General features: G+C 46.9%; 2 protein-coding genes, 2 long non-coding RNA genes and 1 other non-coding gene across 21 annotated transcripts in view, besides 1 other annotated feature; 1 reads left to right on the top strand and 4 right to left on the bottom strand.

Annotated features, from left to right (window-relative positions):
* PIGT (phosphatidylinositol glycan anchor biosynthesis class T) lies at nucleotides 922-11,022 on the bottom strand. Of its 9 annotated transcripts, none has more exons than NR_047691.2 (12): nucleotides 10,820-11,022; nucleotides 10,509-10,646; nucleotides 8,184-8,311; nucleotides 7,768-7,868; nucleotides 7,573-7,659; nucleotides 6,940-7,027; nucleotides 6,734-6,831; nucleotides 6,470-6,635; nucleotides 5,580-5,780; nucleotides 2,782-2,947; nucleotides 2,584-2,667; nucleotides 922-1,589 (listed from the first exon to the last, which is right to left on the bottom strand). NR_047691.2 is itself a non-coding variant. In NM_015937.6 (12 exons), exons 1-12 carry the CDS (start codon nucleotides 11,004-11,006, stop codon nucleotides 1,337-1,339), a joined length of 1,737 nt encoding a protein of 578 aa, NP_057021.2. In that variant the 5' UTR covers nucleotides 11,007-11,022; the 3' UTR covers nucleotides 922-1,336. The 9 variants fall into 9 exon arrangements, 4 of the variants coding, with proteins under 4 accessions (NP_057021.2, NP_001171658.1, NP_001171657.1 ...); NM_015937.6 differs by having other exon boundaries at nucleotides 10,469-10,646; NR_047693.2 differs by lacking the exon at nucleotides 7,768-7,868 and having other exon boundaries at nucleotides 10,469-10,646.
* Nucleotides 1,590-1,653, bottom strand: MIR6812 (microRNA 6812). The gene has a single exon (NR_106870.1). It is a non-coding gene; the product is annotated as a microRNA 6812 (primary transcript).
* Nucleotides 7,494-7,553: an enhancer, noted in NCBI's record as "active region_17951". NCBI's record gives its function as "activates an Ori minimal core promoter by ATAC-STARR-seq in GM12878 lymphoblastoid cells {active_cell/tissue: GM12878}" and the evidence as "EXISTENCE:reporter gene assay evidence [ECO:0000049][PMID:35858748]".
* Nucleotides 8,780-16,588, top strand: LOC107985405 (uncharacterized). Its single transcript, XR_001754640.2, has 2 exons — nucleotides 8,780-8,949; nucleotides 10,346-16,588. It is a non-coding gene; the product is annotated as an uncharacterized LOC107985405 (long non-coding RNA).
* Nucleotides 16,553-17,424, bottom strand: part of SYS1-DBNDD2 (SYS1-DBNDD2 readthrough (NMD candidate)) — a 47,442-nt gene continuing 46,570 nt past the window's right edge. The window contains exon 6 of the long non-coding RNA NR_003189.2: nucleotides 16,553-17,231. This is a non-coding gene — a long non-coding RNA (SYS1-DBNDD2 readthrough (NMD candidate)). The remainder of the gene's footprint in view (nucleotides 17,232-17,424) is intronic.
* Nucleotides 16,553-17,424, bottom strand: part of DBNDD2 (dysbindin domain containing 2) — a 4,618-nt gene continuing 3,746 nt past the window's right edge. For 8 of the 9 annotated variants that reach the window (NM_001197139.2, NM_001197140.2, NM_001048222.3 and 5 more), the window contains one exon: nucleotides 16,556-17,231. In NM_001197139.2, coding sequence (NP_001184068.1) covers nucleotides 17,023-17,231 — 209 coding nt within the window. In that variant the 3' untranslated portion in view covers nucleotides 16,556-17,022. Of the gene's footprint in view, nucleotides 17,232-17,424 lie in introns of all 9 variants that reach the window. The other variant, NM_018478.3, reaches the window with a different exon arrangement.

Here is a 17,424-nt window from a genome sequence, read left to right as displayed (position 1 = left end):
AGTAGAGACGGGGTTTCACCATGTTGGCCAGGATGGTCTCGATCTCTTGACCTTGTGATCTGCCCACCTTGGCTTCCCAAAGTGCTGGGATTACAGGCATGAGACACCGTGCCCGGCCAGCCTCATCTGGTTTTATGAGGGAACCAGGCAGTTGAGAGGTGTGCATGGTTGGTGGAATAGGGCATTCTAGGCCAAACCACTATGATGGGAGAACTGAGTGGGGTAGGAGGTGGGGGGAACTGCAAATAACACACAGTTGATGCCAAGTGTGCCAGAGGAAAAGACAGAAGATGAGGGCAGTGGGAGGCAACCGCCTAAAGGCTTGTTTTACAGAAATCCAGGGTTATGTAACCAGCAAGGGAGGTGGGCGGGGCGGGCTTCAATCCAATGAGCCTGGCTTCAAAGCCTGGGGGTGGTCTGAGGACAGAGCACAGCAGGAGCTCCTGAGAAGCCTGCTAAAAAGTCAAAGTCTGGGCCACACCCAGACCAACTGAATTAGTAGGATCTGGACCCCAGGAACATACATTATTTTCACAAGTGCCCCCAGTGACTCTGATGCACACTACAGTTAGAGACCCACCACCCAGAGCCCTCCCACCTCTCCACTCTACCCTTGCTGATGTGGACTGACTCTCAATGCCCCCAAGAAGTAGGATGATTCATTTCCATGGCCATGGATTATGCTTTCAGAAACACTCCCAAACAACCCGGGGAGTTCTGGGAATCACAATCAGATGGGGATGGGGAGGACAGGGGGAGCAGATCAGGAGAAGAAATTTCCGGCCAGGTGGGAGGAGGTAGGGTTTTTTGTTTTTTGTGGAGGGGGTTGCAGGCATAGGGTAGGAGGTCCTGTTCAGGCACTCAGCAAACAATCCCCAGTCCCCAGCTCTTCCCAGGACTCAAGGACAAGAGGCAAAGAACCACGGAAACAGCCGTTTTTATTCCACAAACAGTAAACTCCATCCACTACACAGTGACATACACTGTGTAGCACACCCCATCACCTTGGCCAGTGCTGCCAGCCGACCTTTCTGTGGTGATGGAAATCTTTTTCTGTGCTGTCCAATACAGCAGCCACCGACCACTTTTGCTTATTGAGCACCTCAATATAGAGGTGGCCACTACAGGTGAGGAAATGAATTTCTAAGTTAATTCAAATTCAAATGCCACATTTGGCTCGTGGCTCCTGTACTGGACAACACAGCTGTAGGCCCTGACCTGGTCCAGGGCACTTTGGTTCAAAAGCCAACTCTGAGGAGAGCAAGTGGCAGAAACAGCCCTTGGGCTCCCCTCCCCAGAGAGAAACGGCAGCTGCAGCTGCTGGAAAGGGCAAGAATCAGAGTGGGGGGACACCTCGGGCGCGCCGGATAAGGTTGGCCAGCCGCTTGGCCAGGCCACCTGTGCGGGGCTCCTCGATGTGGAAGGTTCGGGTGAGGAGATTGTAGAAGGAGCCATAGCACACGGCCACCACAGTGCACGTGAGGCAGATCACGTTGTAGGGCATGCTGAAGTCCGGTGTCGGCAGGTTCACCAGCAGCGGCTCCGTGTAGAGCCGCACAAAGTAGTTAGAGCCATCAGAGACTGGGAACCTGGGGTCAGGGGAAGAGCGGTGAGACAGGACTGGCTGCTCCTCCCCATCTCACCCCATCCTCATTCCGGCAGTATTGGGCAATGCAACACAGTGTTTCCAATGTTCTCTTAGGCTCAAAACCTTTCAACAGAAGGCATAGCTCAATCTCTAAACCTGATAAAGGGGAGCGGCGGGCGGGGGGCAAGGGGAGGGAGAGCATTAGGACAAATACCTAATGCATGCGGGGCTTAAAACCTAGATGATGGGTTGATGGGTACGGCAAACCACCGTGGCACATATATACCTATGTAACAAACCTGTATGTTCTGCACATGTATCCCAGAACTTAAAGTAAAATAAAAAATAAATAAGAAAGAAAGAAAGAGAAAGAAAGAAAGAAAGAAAGAAAGAAAGAAAGAAAGAAAGAAAGAAAGAAAGAAAGAAAGAAAGAGAAAGAAAGAAAGAGAGAGAAAGGAAAGAAAGAGAGACGCCTGGTGTTGAGGTGGAGGAAAGGGGCCCCGCCTTTGCTTGGTTGCTTCTTTCTTAGCCTGGTTTCAGCCTAAATGCCACCTCCTAAATGAAGCCTTCCTAGATAACCCAGTAAATCAATTCCTACCCAACCTCTAACCCCATTACTCTCTAGACCAGAATCTTCCTTCTAGACTGTAAGCAAAGGGAGGCCAGGGCCAAGTCTGTTTTGTTTAATCTTGCACACTCAGTGCTCTCAGAAGCACTTGGCATTTGATAAGTGCTTGATTAAATATTTAAGAGCATCAAGAAGTAAATGTAGGCTGTAAGTAAAAGTATTCTTCTAGAAGCACTTTAAAATCATTTTATAAAGTCTTCACAAATTCCACAGACTGCCAGGATTTTTATTAGGATTGAATTAAATCTACACATCTCTTTGGAAGATGTAACATCTACCCTGAACTCCCCTGCAGGAGCCTGGTCACCTGTGTTAAGGCCCAGCAGGCAGCTGAGGATGTGTTATCAGTGAGTGTGGTCACACTTACAGGCTGTTGAAGAGGGGACTCTCTTCCCAGTCCACTGGCTTGGCTGCTACCATGCTGGGCACAAGGGCGCTGAGGACAGATGGGCTACAGAGAAGCAGAGAGATGGCCCGTGTTCCCATCTGGCTGCCCTATCAAGGGGTAAGCAGCAGAAAGGGTAGGTCAGGGGGATGAGAGGTGGCCTGTGGGGGTGGAGCCCACCTGACATAGAAGCCATGGTTAGGATCTGGCGTGTACTCGGTCCACTTCAGCAGCGCCCGCTCAAACTGGATGGAAACCTTGGTGACTGAGTTGGCCGGCAGCTGAATCAGCATCTCCAGGAGGTGGGGTTGCAGCCGGTCCTGGGCAGGCTGGTAGTGGATGTAACCTGGAGACATGCAAGGTCACCCACATCTCTTTCCTGGGGTCAGGCTACCTGCTGCCCCTGTCCCTGCTGCTTGCCATGGAGCCTCAATCTGGGTGCCTAGAAGATGGGCTTGGGAGCATAGAAGCCAGGCAGGCAAGGGAAGAAAGCAGGGGCTAAGAAAAGGGAGAGGATGTTTCCAGGGCAGTGATCCCAGGATGCGATCAAGAGAGGTTGTTAGGAGTGCTGCAGATGGCTAATCAATCTTCACATCACTACAACTGGGGCACCAGACACCAAGTGCCTGATGTGACGCAAGAAGAAGTTCACAGAACCACCTGGGAATTTTTCTTGCCAAAAATGTGGGACATGAATCTAATCAGGTTTCTAAATCTAACCACCAACACACAAGAAATATAGGAGAGGAGGGGTGTGTTAAACACTAGCACAAGGACAAACCCAGAATGTGGAACATTCTACACAACAAATGACCCAGTTTCTTCAACAAATAAATGACATTAAAAAAAAAAAAAAAAGGCATGGGCACTGCTACAGATGAAGAGAGACTGAAGAGTACCACACCAAAGACAAGACATTTATAATAAGGGACATTCTGGGTGTGGAGACAGGGAGTATATGGGAACTCTGTGCTTTGTGCTCAGTTTTTCTGTAAACCTAAAACTGCTCTAAGAATAGTCTAGTAATTTTAAAGAAAAAGAAACTTTTTTTTTTTTCGTGACAGGGTCTCACACTGTCGCCCATGCTGAAGTGCAATAGTATGATCATGGCTCACTATAGCCTTGACCTCCTGGGTTCAAGTGATCCTCCCACCTCAGCCTCTTGAGTAGCTGGGACTACAGGCGTGCAACACCACCCCCAGCTAATTAAAAACAATTTATTTTAATCCCAGCACTTTGGGAGGCCAAGGCGGGCAGATCACAAGGTCAGAAGATCGAGACCACCCTGGCTAACACAGTGAAACCGCATCTCTACTAAAAACAGAAAAAATTAGCCAGGCGTGGTGGCACGCGCCTGTAGTCCCAGCTACTCGGGAGGTGGAGGCAGGAGAATCGCTTGAACCCGGGAGGTGGAGGTTGCAGTGAGCTAAGATCGCGCCACTGCACTCCAGCCTGGGTGACAGAGTGAGGATCCGTCTCAAAAAAAAAAAAAAAAAAAAAAAAAAATTTTTTTTGTATAGGTAGGGGGAGCCTCACAATGTTGTCCAGGCTGGTTTCGAACTCCTGGACTCAAGTGGTCCTTCTGTGTTGGCCTCCCAAAGTGCTGAGATTACAGGTGTGCACCACTGTGCCCACCCAAGAGAGGAACTTAGTATAAAGCAAATGCAATGTGAGAACCTTGTTTATCCCAATTTAAACAAACCAATTATAAAAAGACATTTTTAAGACCACAGGGGAAAACAGAAGTGGTAATGATACGGTTACATTTTTAAAAATCCTTAAAGTATTTAAAGGTTAATTGATGCAATGTCTAAGATTTGCTTTAAGATATGCCAGCAGGCAGCGGCTTACACCTATAATCCCAGCACTTTAGGAGACTGAGGCAGGAGAATCGCTTGAGGCCAGGAGTTTGAGACCAGCCTGTGCAACATAACAAGACCCTGCCTCTGTGAAAAAATTAAAGGCATGGCGGTTCATGCCTGTAGTCCTAGGGAAGCGGAGGTAGGAGGATTGCTTGAGCCGAGCAGTCTGAGACTGCAATGAGCCATGATCATGCCACTGCACTCCGGCATAGCTGACAGAGCAACAGTCTGTCTCTTAAAAAAAAAAAAAAAAGGCTGCAGGGTGTGTACAGGGGATTATTACACTATTCTGTTTGGGTTTGGGTTTGAAATTTTCCAAAGGAGAAGATTTAAAAGAATAATAACAGAAAAACCTATAGAATATGCAGTTAGGATGTCTGAAATAGAGATTTTGAAGGTGGTACAAATAATGGTGCTGAAAATAAGTGAAACTATTCACCGTATGTTTGAAAATATAGGAATCAACTAAAGTACTGAAAGGTTTTTAAGTTTGGCCGTTTGGGATATGGTACAACCTCTTCCTCAGAGGTCTTTTACTTTACTACTAGTCTCCCCCTACACCAAAGAAAGGCAAGTGCTTTAGTGCTATGCCTGGCACCTAATAGGAAGCACTAATATTATCTTCTCCTTAGAAAAATAATAGAAAATAAAAATAAATTTTAATAAAAATAGAAATAAAAAAATTTAATTAACTGTACCTCTTTACCCCTCCCAAGGAAGCAAAACACCATCTACTCCAGCTCTGCTATCTTCCTAGCTTCAAAAGCCTAACGTTGCCAAACCCTTTCCCTACCTTAAAGAGTCTATGAATCATCACAAAACCCAATGCTCCAGAAAGGAGGCAAAAGTAAGTGAAAAAGGAAGCTACTGTCCTTGTACAGTCCTATTAAGAATCACCAGTATTATGTGTTTTAATTATTGCTGTTTTATAAATTACTTCTGAACCTGGCACAGTGAGGCTCCCGTTCCAGTTTTGAGAAACTATTCCTTACTCTTTATGCCTGTGTAGCTTTTCAGAGGTACTTCAGGAACTACCCTGGGAAATGAGAGTTTGGGGGACCTGGAGAGGACATGAGAGGGCGGGCTGGGGGCCTGGTTCAGGACTCAGGTCCTCACTTGGTTTGTTCTCCTTGCCCTTGGAGGTGATGGTGAGGGTGTGCACATACAGCCGCAGATACCAGGGTACGGTGTCCAGCAGCAGCACCGGGAAGGCCCGGTATGGGTGGGTGTTGTACAGCAGTGTGCTCAGCTCCCCCTTCTGCAGCCCATAGCCACTCACGTACCGCTGGGCATGCAGGAAGGGCACTGGGGGGGCCTCTGTGTAAAGAAATATCAACAGTTAACAGCTGCCAAAGGTAAGAATCACTCCCCACCCCACCTGCCCAGGCCATGTTCAGAGTCCCAAGCCAGTGAGTAGATGGGGAACAGCCCTGCCACTGAAACTGGGCAATCTGGGTTCTGGAATCATCCCTGTCTTCCCCAGCCAACAAGCGATGATGACAATAGGTTGCTAGTATTGAAGTGCTTACGTGACGAACACCGTGCCCCCTTCGAACCCAATCCAGGTCCTCTCAGGATATTCTGCTCTTTCCCTTGGTAAGGGAACTGAACACAACTGTAATTAATTAACTGACACCTGCCCTAGCTAGTAGACTTATATTTCTTGAGTGCAGTGTCCTCTGTCTTATTCAACACTCTATGCCTGGCACTTAGTATGAATTCAAAAGTATTTGGTTGATTAAGCAAATGCATGAACTAACTCCATTTTTCACATCATCTCATCCAATTTGCTAAGTATACTCTATTTTTCAGATGTGGATGCTGAAGCTTGGGGAGTTTAGGAACCTACCCAAAATCGTAGAGCTTGGAATAGCTACAGTCAGCAGCATATGACTCTGGAAATCTGGTCTAAATACAACCCAATCATCTAACGGCAAAGACGTGGGATTGTGAGTCTTTTCTCTGTAGCCGTTGCAACCCAGCAGTCCAACCAACCACCCACTCACCATTCTCTGGGGGTCTCTTCCACTTGAGCTGGATGTTGAGGTTTCGAGAGTTGTTGATCATGGCGGTGTCAAGCAAGTCATAGATGGCATAGGTCTTCCGAGTGCCTAGGATGACGTCCTGATATGTAGTGGTCGGGGGTGGGTGCACCTCTAATGTCTCGTTGTCCTGGGGACACAAAGGCAGGGCTAAGAAGCAAGCAGAGAGGGTAGGCTGGTCCTGGGGACCAGCGGTGTGTTTGTGTGTGTGGCTGGAGACCTTGTTACCTGGTTGTAGGTGGTGATGTCCACATAGACTCGGCTCTCTGAAGCCAGGGGGCAGGGCTCCGTGAGGGTTCGGGAGAACATCCGGAAGAGGGACCAGTCTGAGAAACAGAGCGCAGGGCTGAGCAGGGGCCAGGCCTAGGCCTAGTCCACATAGATAAGGCAGGGCTGGCATGGGTGGGTACAGATGAGTTGCCAAGGTAACTTACCTTTCTTTCCCTGCCCCGTGATGAAGGCATCAAATACAACTGACAGGGTCTGCCTCAGCTCCCAGGAGATGCTAGTACAGCGTGCATTCTATCACAAGGGCCAGATGGCAGCAGTGAGGGGGTATCACTCTCACCACACAGCCCCCAAAAAGACTCCTACTCAGACTCAATCCCTCATCTATGTATCTTCACATCCATCGATTTGCTACCACCCACTCCTGAGCACTTGACCTCGTGCCAGACCCCGTGCTGACAGCTGTATGTGCATCAGTTTGATAAACTATCACAACAACCCTAGGAGTGGATTCTACTATCAATGTCATGTGGCAGGGTGGGAAACCAAGCTCAGGGGAATGAAATGATTCACCCAAGGTTACGCCAGCTGGCAAGTGACTGAGCTAGCAATTGCACCCGCATAGCTATTGTTCTGAACCACTATTTTCCATGACAAATATTTATTCAGTGCTTGCTAGGCAACCACTGTTTTCTTGGTGCTTGGCCAATGCCCTGAATAACCGTCATCACATCTACCACTCAGTACTCACTCAGCCTGAGCCAGACACTGACCACATGCTTTACATGTACCTTCTCTGAGCCCCTGGATGGCAGCTTCCTCTACTCCCCATGACTTACTCTGCAAACAGGGCGGATATGCACTGCCTGGGAGTGGTAGCTGGTGTGGAACAAGCGATCTGCCTTCAGCAGCACAGAGAGGCCTGCCTGGAGGAGATGGAAAGAGATAAGAGAAGCCCTGTATGGAGCACTTGGCATGGGGCGCAGGTTCTCTATACACCCCCCGCCCCCGGCTGCCAGGCTCTGCGGCCTCACCTTGGAACTACAGGGCAAGAGCTTCTTCCAGGGGGTGAGGTTTTCGGTGCAGACCACCTCCCGCGGCAGCACAGCATAGCGCAGAAAGTAGTGGTCAGTGTCTGAGGGAGACAGAGGTCTGTCTGGGGTGGGCCTTGGGCTCTGACCCCTCGGGATCCACATTCCAGAGATGGGAATGACCCTCCTGCTCCCCACACCACCTCTAGCACCACAGTCTGGACAGTCCCAACTGGGAGTAGGACTCCCTTCTCTCCTTGGGAAAAGGCATGCAGAGATGGCACAGTATTGGGGGCCTGCACACACAGGGGACTTAGGATCTAGCCCAGGCTGAGGAAGCAGGAAACTGAGGGAAAAGGAGGCAAAGGTTTGGGCAGGAGGTAAGAGGAAGAAGGAAAGGGCTGTAGGGGTTATCTCACCATTGGCCAGACCCAGGGGTTTGAAGGAGGCAGTGGGAGTGACTGTGTTGGTGGAGTCGATGAAGTTGAGAGAGGCGCAGAAGATCCCTGAGAGGACATTACTGAGCTCCTTCCAAGATTTATCCACACTGGATAGAGACACAAATCCACTCACTGTCCTGGGGCTACCTCTGCTCCCTCTTTCAAAGTCCACAGCTGGCTGCTAAACCTATGATAGGAGGAGGCTGTATTCTTAACTATTAGACGGGCCAGTTGATGGAGCTGGAACATTGCTGCCCCCAGCCAGCCCACTTGCTGGGTCTCATCCTACTCAGCCCCTTCTTCCTCACTCTCCTCTGGACATCTCTGCATCCCCATGGGTCTCTGCTCAGGTGATTCTTCCTTCCTTGCAAGCCTTTGCTAACTTCTTTCTGCCTACCTTCATGATCCGGCTCCAGTGCTTACCTCCCCTCCACGAAGCCTTTCCTGCCCTCCTTAAGCACAGTCTCCTCTGTGCAGTCACGGTTCTGACCATCCAAGCATCTTACTAGGTCCCTCCTGGGAGATGGCTAGGTGGCAGCAGCATCGTGTCCTGACCACCTTTTCTCCCTAACTAGGCTGTAAGCAACTTGAGGACAAGGACCAGTCTGGGTCATCTATGTACTTCCCCTGACACCATGGAAAGCGCCTCATGTATCAGAGCTGAAATGAGCTCACTGATCTTCCTTGAATGTGCTGGGCTGGGCAAAACAATGCATACTACCCTGTGTATACTCTGGGAATAAAGGTAAGTCCTGATTCTACTATCATGGTGAGAAGTCTTATATCCAAAAAAGCTCACTGAACATGGGAAAAACAACTGTTCTAGGATTTCATAAAAACATCAAATTAAATTAATGTTCTTTTCTTGGAGAAATATCAAAAGAGATTTGCTCTCAGTAATAGAGAAAGCATAAAACTTAATAAGCACTAGAAAGAATTCTAAGCATTTGCTCCACATTTCAGGCAATTACGGGCTGAGGGAAGACAGTGACAGCAGAGTAGACAGGAAAGGGTAGGGGAGCCAGAGTTGAGGCAAGAGAGAAAGTCTTGGCAAGCTGGGGAGTTACTGCTTATTCCTTATTCCTTAGTGTTGTCCAGGAGCTTTTGATAATTCTATGTTCAGAGCTTTTCAACTGCTCCAATCCTTAAGCCTCAAATAAAAATGGCAAACTTGAAGCCGGAAAGCTCTACTCAAACCATAAACATGCTTCATTTGGTATGCACAACATTGACCCGCACAGCACTCAAAAAATTTTTAAATTACTTGCTGATATTTGAATTTGCCAATTTTCACATTAAATTCCAGATTTCTGGTATCTCTTGAAAAATGAGGCCAGGTGTGGTGGCTCTTGCCTGTAATCCCAACACTTTGGGAGGCTGAGGCAGGAGGATCGCTTGAACCCAGGAGTTCGAGACCAGCCTGGGCAATATAGTGAGACCTTGTTTCTACAAAAAATTTTTAGAAACATTTGACTCTGACCACATTAGGCCTCTATTCCCACATGGCAACAATCCATAGAAGCTGAGTGGCAGAGCTGTCCTCGTTAGAATGTCACACAAACTCTCTAGCCTGCCACAATTCCTGCTGCTCCTTTTTATTGCCCTAAAACTTGTTATATCATACTTGCACTATTGATTTCTTATAGTGGGATTAAGAGGAAAATGAGATATATTTCTCATTCCTGTGTTTGTCAATTTTAAAAATACCTTTATTCATTCCTTACCTGTGTGGCCCATGTAGACCTGTTTGCAACCACTGCACAGAAAGGTTCTATTCTAAACAGGATAGCCACAGCAGCCACTGGGAAATAGCGGTTTGTAGTAGGCACAGTAACTAGACCTGCCCCCTCCCAAACAAAAGCAGTTCCTCTAACACTGTGATGTAGCATCCTGTTGGCCAGTTGTAACCCACAGATATGTTATGGTTGGCTTTCGTGGTATTTATTATCATTTAAAAAATATTAATGAATGCCTTTTAAAAGGTTATCCAGTTGCCAGTTTTCTACTGCCTTACCTCCAAATAAGCATTAATTGTTTGCTATTTGCCTCTCCAGGGATATGCATGTGCTACCTCAGGTCTGAAAGTTTTAGGATTGGGAAGTTTATTCATCTGTGGTAACATTTCTTACTTCCAATGCCAGCTCTACCCCCATGGAATCGCTGCCTACTGGAAGTGCTGTCCCCAAGAGCAGTGGCAGGATGACAACACTCTCCCAGCCACATTCCCTCCATGGCCTGCAACAGGGCCCAAGGTGTGCACTCACTCAGTGACAGTGTCTTGGAACCAGACCCACAGCTCTGCACCTGATGGGGCCTGCAGGAAGGGTGGCCCCCAGTATCGGGTCCTCCAAAAGCCTTGTGTGAATGACAGGTGCAGCTCCCGTAGAGAATACTTGGAGATCAGCTGCCCCAGGGCTTTGGGAAAGAGCCTGTAATGGGACACTGGGGAAACGGGAGCAGGTGAGTGACGATCCCCACCTCGTCGGGGTCCACACCCAGGATCCCGAACTCTACCCAGGAATTAGGCCCCGCCCCCAAAGTTTGCCTTCATCCCACGGCCGGCCAGCCAGCAGGCACTACGGAAATCTTTCCCTGGTCAGATCTCGCGCCCTCACCTCCTTCCCGCTGAAGCTCCGAATCCCAGCGCGTGCGGAACTGGAATGTGGCGGCTACGTCCCCGGAAGGCAGCGGGGTGATGACAAGTTCCTCCCGCAGGCTGTCGCGTGGGGGTTCTGCAAGGCACCAGCCGCCGGGCCCCAGGAGCAACAGGACGAGCAGAGCAAGCGGCATAGCCGCCGCCATGCCTGCGGCTACTTCCGCCTACCCAGCGGCGCTCGGCCCCATGAAAAGCCGGTATCCAATAAGAAAGGCGTGTGAGAAGTGACTTCCGCTGTCGTCCCGGAAACCGGGATGCGGTTATCAGAGCGACCGCCTGCGCAGGTCGCGAAGATTCCCTCAGAGCTGGTGGGTCTAAGGGGGTACTGGGAGGACACGAGAGGGAGTAGGCAGGGCGAGTAACCAGCTTGAGGCCGCACCTAGTTCATGGCGTATTCCACCCACCAGGAAATGCTTAATAATATGAAGCTCCTTCACTGCCATTTTACCCATTTGATAGTTGAGGAAACATTGACTGAAAAAGATCAATTACTTTTGGGAAAACCATTGTGGTTTTAATTTGCATTTCCCAAAGTAAGAGGAACCTCCTGCCCCTCTTAGCTTCTAGTGTCTCCATTTGCTGCAAAACCCCCAAATAAGTGGTTCTTTTATTACGAAAATGTTCAAACAAAATTGAAAGAATGAGCACCTGTTACAATAAACCTATTTTCCACCACCTAGATTCTACTATTTACATTATACTATACTTGTACTTTACCACATATTTGTCTATACATCCATCATTCCATCTTGTGTTTTGGTGCACTTCAAAGTAAATTGCAGACATTAGTACACTTTCCTTTAAGTAGTTAAGCATGCATATAATTAACTAGAGTTCAGTATTCGATTGCATTTTGATGTAAAATTCACATACAGTGAAATGCACAAATCCAAAGTACACATTCACTGAGTTTTGACAAATGCACACACCTATGTAACCCGAACTCCTATCATGATACAGAACATTCCTAAAACCCCAGAAAATTAGCAATACCCTTTCCTAGTCAATCCCTGCTCCTCTATCACCTTCCAGAGGCAGTTAGTACCCTGATTTTTTCCCACAATAGATTAATCTGTTCCAGAACTAAATATAAATGAAATCATATAGTATGTATACTGTGTAAGGCTTTTTTTTTTCTCATGGGAAGAATGTTTTTGAGAATCATCCATGTTCTTGCATGTATCCACAATTCTTTTTATTACTGCGTAGTATTATTAATTTATCCATTCAACTCTTGATGGGCACTTTTAAAGTTTTTGGTTATTATTAACAAGGCTGCTGTCTGTGCAAGCTCCTTTGTAGACGTATATTTCTCATATCCTTTGGCCAGGTATTTAAGAGTGGAATTGCTGGGTCAGAGAGCAGGTGTATGTTTAATTTTATAAGAAACTGTCAGACCTTTCTCCAAAATGTATCATTTTATGTTTCCATAAACTATGAGTCTCCATTGTACCACATCCTGGTCAGCATTTGAAGTTTCTAATTTTTTGTACTTTTTAGTTTTGACCACTTGGGTATGTATGTAGTGTTTGCTCATTGTGGTTTTAATTTGCATTTCCCTGGTAACTAAAAATGTTAAGCATCTGTTCATGTGCTTATTTGCCATTTATTTTTTAATTTAATTTTTATTTTTTTGTGAAAGGTCTGTTAAAGTCTTCTGCACCCTCACCCCTTTGTTTACTGGCTTGTCTTTTTATTGACTTTTTCGGAGTTCCAAAGTTAAAGTCATGCTTTAGTTTTTCCACCTGCCCTATGGGAAACACATTCATGAAGGATTTCATGAACAGTCTCTTGGTGACACTCATGACCACACTTCTAGAAAGAGCCAATTTGGTGTCAGGCAGGTCTGCCAAGATATGCGCCAACCAACCAGACATTTCCAGAAAGGAAATGTCAGAAAGATGTCTTTATCTCATTATGCCTTCATTCTGCCTGCATTCAGTGTTCCTGCCCCATTAGACACGAAATATTAGGAAGGCCATGGGCTTAGATGTCAGAAAGACAGGAGTCCAAATCCCTATGCCAGCCTTTAATCCATATGAGCATGATCAACCCAAGTGTCACTTTTCTTCATTTGTATAATGAAGAAACCTACTTTCAAGGTTGTTGTTAAGATGAGAAATTATGTACATGTAGGATATGGAATGTAGCAAGTGCTTAATAGTAACACTCAACCCTGTCACCTAGGCACTAATATGTAAATGTAGATAATAGTGCCTAAGTGATAGGGTTGCTTGAGTGTTATTATTAAGAAGTACATAAACTAAGATAATAAAGATTACAATGAGTGATGGAGCTAGGACTATAGTCTACACTATCAAACCTCAAAATAATACTTTTTTAAAGGTAGCTGCCATCATTATGACTATTTTGTACTTCTCTGTTTTCCTTTTGAAATTGCCCATCTCCATCATTCAGGACCCAGCCACCTCTAGTGAAGACTTACCTTCTCCTCCTCTAGTGGTCTACAGGCTTCATGTACTTCTGCTACATCTCTCATCACATTGTTTCCATTACCTGTGTCTGTGTCTGCTCCTGGAAGAGCTCATGGTCACCTTAGTATTTCTGTTGCCTAAGCAAGGTGACTGTCACATAGTAGGTGCTCAGTAATGTGTGAATGAATGAACAAACAAGATGACATCATAGCACAGTTCTGTATTTTCCCTACTCTGCCATGCTGTTCAGTGTCAAGTTCTGTGCACTCCTGGGGTTGCTACAGTGTAAGCCTTCTAAGGAAACTTTTTCTGAGCTGTGGTGCCTCCTTTCCGAAGTGTGTCAGGATGTCCACCCTATGACAAGTCCGTGCAAATATCAGAAGCCACGCTGTAGCTTGGAGACTGAAAGCTGGGCTCCTTGACTTAGAGTTGGCTCCAGATCTTCCTCCCACCTCCAAAGGCACTGTGTGGCCTCAAAAACCAGACAGCTAGGCTCTGGGCTGCCATAAACCACGGTTTAACTTTAATGCAACACTATAATCAAATGGTGAATCTGAAGATTATCATTTTTTTAAAAAGTGACCATATTGAATATGGTGTTTTATAGTCTACTCTTTCTTTCAAGAGTTATCATAAATGTCTTTCCACTAAAAATATGTGGTGGGTAGATGATACAATCTTGGTACTATTTTGATGATTTTTTAAGCTGTATGATGAGAACCTGGGATATTTTTCTTTCTATATTTGTTGTACGTTTGAAACCCCCATAAGTTTTTTTAAAAAAACAAAGAAACAAAAAACAGTCAGCTGGAGATGATGGTTCTGAAGGCCAGCCAAGCCCCTGTGGTTCGGCAGGAGAAAAGGTTATTGTCCCAACTAGGAAGTAGTCCTGGGGTCTCAGCTGACACTAGACTTTTCCAGGCAGGGCTGGGGCTCATAGCAGCCAAACTGAAGGCTCCCCATAGGCTCAGAAACAATTCTACTTCTCTAGAGGGCTGTAAATCCCTCTCTCAAGGCAGGCTCCCCACAATCTTCGCATCATGTGCCTGGGCTACTAAGAGATTTATTGACATGTTGACGGCAACCAAGCCAGTCTAGCTTCTCATCGTTCACCATGGAAGGAAGGGGGGTGATCCTGGGAGCTGAGAAGCCCTGCACAGCAAAGCTATTGGGATCATGGGCCGCAGCCCAAGAGATGGCTCAGCCACAGTCAGACAGGAGGTAGATAGAACCTTGCTACTCTAAAGGAAGGAAGGAGAGAAGCCACAAGAGGACAGAGATTATGTCTTCTATGTGCAGCAAGGTCATAAGCAACCCAGAAAAACCCCAAAAGTTAATAGAGGACTGGGCCCTGGCCCAGCTCAGTGGATGATCTCAACTTGGACCTAGAGGCTTTTGCACAGAAGGTATTCACTCCACAAGCTTCCTAGAGACAGGGAATGGCTGGTGGACACTCCTACTTCCCTGGAGTTCCCACAGGTTTCTCACTAGTGTTAGGAAAAACACTTAGGAACAGATACTTACACTGGCCTCCTGCAGGGGTGAGAGCAGGATGGGACAATAGGAAGACTGCAGCCTTGTCACTCAACCTTGGGTGGCACAAAAAGCTTTAGGATTTTGGCTGAAGGTCACTGATCCCATGGGTGATGTTCAATGTATGAAGGGAGGTGGACTGATTTTTTTTTTTTTTTTTTGAATGTGAGAAATGAGTTGATGTTCCTTAAGACTGGGTCCTATAACCTCTTCTTTCATTCAGCATTCTCTCCCTGGGCATTCTCTCCTGTCATTCGCACCCATGGCTTCACTTACCACCTATACACTGAGAACTGATCGTTTTCTTTTTCCAGCTCAATCCTCTTATCTAAATTCCACATGCATGGGTGCAAGGGCCTACTCAACATATCCTCTTGGATGTCTCAAAGACATCTCAAACTCAACATGTCCCAAACCAAATTTATGGCCTTCTTCTCAAACCTGGTCCTTTCTGAAACTCCCCATCTGGGTGACTAGCCCTCTGTTCCAAAAAGGATGTAAGGAGCCAGAATGGCTGGAGTACCCCCTCACTTGACATGCCAAGGAGTTCACGTCTATCTGGAGACACTGATTTGAGAGACTCTGCTGGAAGACTATAGGATGGTTGGCCAGGTGCAGTGGCTCACGCCTGTAATTCCAGCACTTCGGGAGGCCAAGGTGGGTGGATCACCTGAGGTCAGGAGTTCGAGACTAGCTTGACCAATATGGTGAAATCCCGTCTCTACTAAAAATACAAAAATTAGCCTGGCATGGTGGTGTGCGCCTGTAGTCCCAGCTACTCGGGAGGCTGAGATGTGAGAATTGCTTGAACCTGGGAGGCGGAGGTTGCAGTGTGCCGAGATCGTGCCATTGCACTCCAGCCTGGGCGAAAGAGTGTGACTTCATCTTGGGGGAAAAAAAAAGAACTTCCAAAAATTTCTTCCTAAATGGGAATAGACTGGCTGTGCCCTCTTTGCCCATCCCCCATTTCCTCTCCTGCTTTCTGCCAGTCTCAAGGTCATGATGGCTGGGGCTTTGACAGCCACCTTAGATGTGAGATATTGCTAAGAATGCAAACCATGTGCAAAAGAGCAAAAAAGGAGCCCAGTGCTGAGTAACGATGGAGCTTTCATGTAGACCTGTACTTTTTAACTTCTATATGAGGAAATAACTTTATATCTTAAGTCATGATCTTTTACTAGCTGTCAAACTGAAACCTGATCCAGGCTTCAACGGATTTTACAACCTGACCTTTGTCAGTCTTAACTCTCCCTTCATTTCCTCAAATCCAACAATTCAGCCAAACGCAATGTTTTTTAGCTCCTCAAGGATATGCTCTCTCCGTTTAAAGTCTTCACGAGCTGCTCGTTCTGCCTGGCTTACGGACTGTGCCTGGCTAACTCCCAATCGTCCTTCAGCTAAAAACAGCTCTTCAGTGACCATAGAAACTAGGTTAACATGCCCCTATTTTCTGGTACCAGAGTAGTTCCTCATCATGCTATTTATTACACTGTGAATTGTAGTATTTACTTGATTTTCTCCTCCATAAACAGTAAACTCTATGAAGGCAGGTATACAGTACAGCCTGTCTTGCTCAAAACTGTATTCCAGATGCCTAGCATGGGTGTTCCATAAACATTTCTTGAATAAATGGAATGAGTGAGTGATAGGAATATGGGATCGGTTAGAGAGCTAAAGACATGTAGTGGGTTTGATATCTTTGCAATATGAAAAATGAAGTCGAATGGTTGGCATATTATTATTAGTTTATTATTTATACCGTGCTCTGTTCCAAAAAGGATGTAAGGAGGCAGCATGGCTTGAGTACCACCTTACTTGATGAGTTAAGGAGTTCACATCCATCTAGAGACACTTGTCTGAGAGACTGTATTAGAAGACTACGGGATGGTTTAGGGGAGGGAAGAGTGCTAAGAAAAGCAGTGGCATCTTGTCCAACCTCATCTTCTCTCTCCTCATTTGCAAATCATATCTCAGGAGTAAGCCAAAAACTGGTGGGAGGGTTGCAGCAGGAAAAAATTAGCAGTAAAGCAGGAGAGGGTTAATTCTTAGAAAGGTACACAATCCCACCATCCTTCCCACCTCTGGTGCCTACTGCAAGTAAAGAGTCTGGTCTTCTCCCGACAGGCTCTGGCTGGGCCTGTGGTCTCATGTGGAGAATAGCCAGCGTGGTCAGTCTGTAGGCAGGGGCCCACTGCTAGCTGCAGGCTCCAGGCTCTGCCCCTCCATCACCCCTTTCCTCCTCTTCATCCGACTGTGCCAAGGGCGTATCTGCTCCATCATCACTTGGATTTGGGCTATGCAGGTTGGTGGAGGAGTCGGAGGAGGAGGAGGAGGAGGTCCTAGATGTGGTCCTGTCTGATGTAGGCACCGGCAGGCTCAGCTCCTCCAAATGGTTGTCCATCCCTGCCCAGAGAGAAAAGCTGGTCAGGCCACAAACAGGGCTTCAGAGAACTCTTAAAGATTATCTGGCCAGGAGTAACTAAAGTCCACAGTGGGGCAGAGACTTGTCCAAAGTGACTTTGCCAATCCAGCAAAGAGCCAGGATTAAGATCACCATCTCCTGACTGCCAGCTCCTTCCACGTCATTACACCATGT

The sequence above is a fragment of the Homo sapiens genome, chromosome 20 (genome assembly GCF_000001405.40).
Source record: "Homo sapiens chromosome 20, GRCh38.p14 Primary Assembly".
Lineage (NCBI taxonomy): Eukaryota > Metazoa > Chordata > Mammalia > Primates > Hominidae > Homo > Homo sapiens.
Note: the sequence above shows the minus strand (reverse complement) of the source record. Positions and strands in the feature narration are given on the sequence as shown.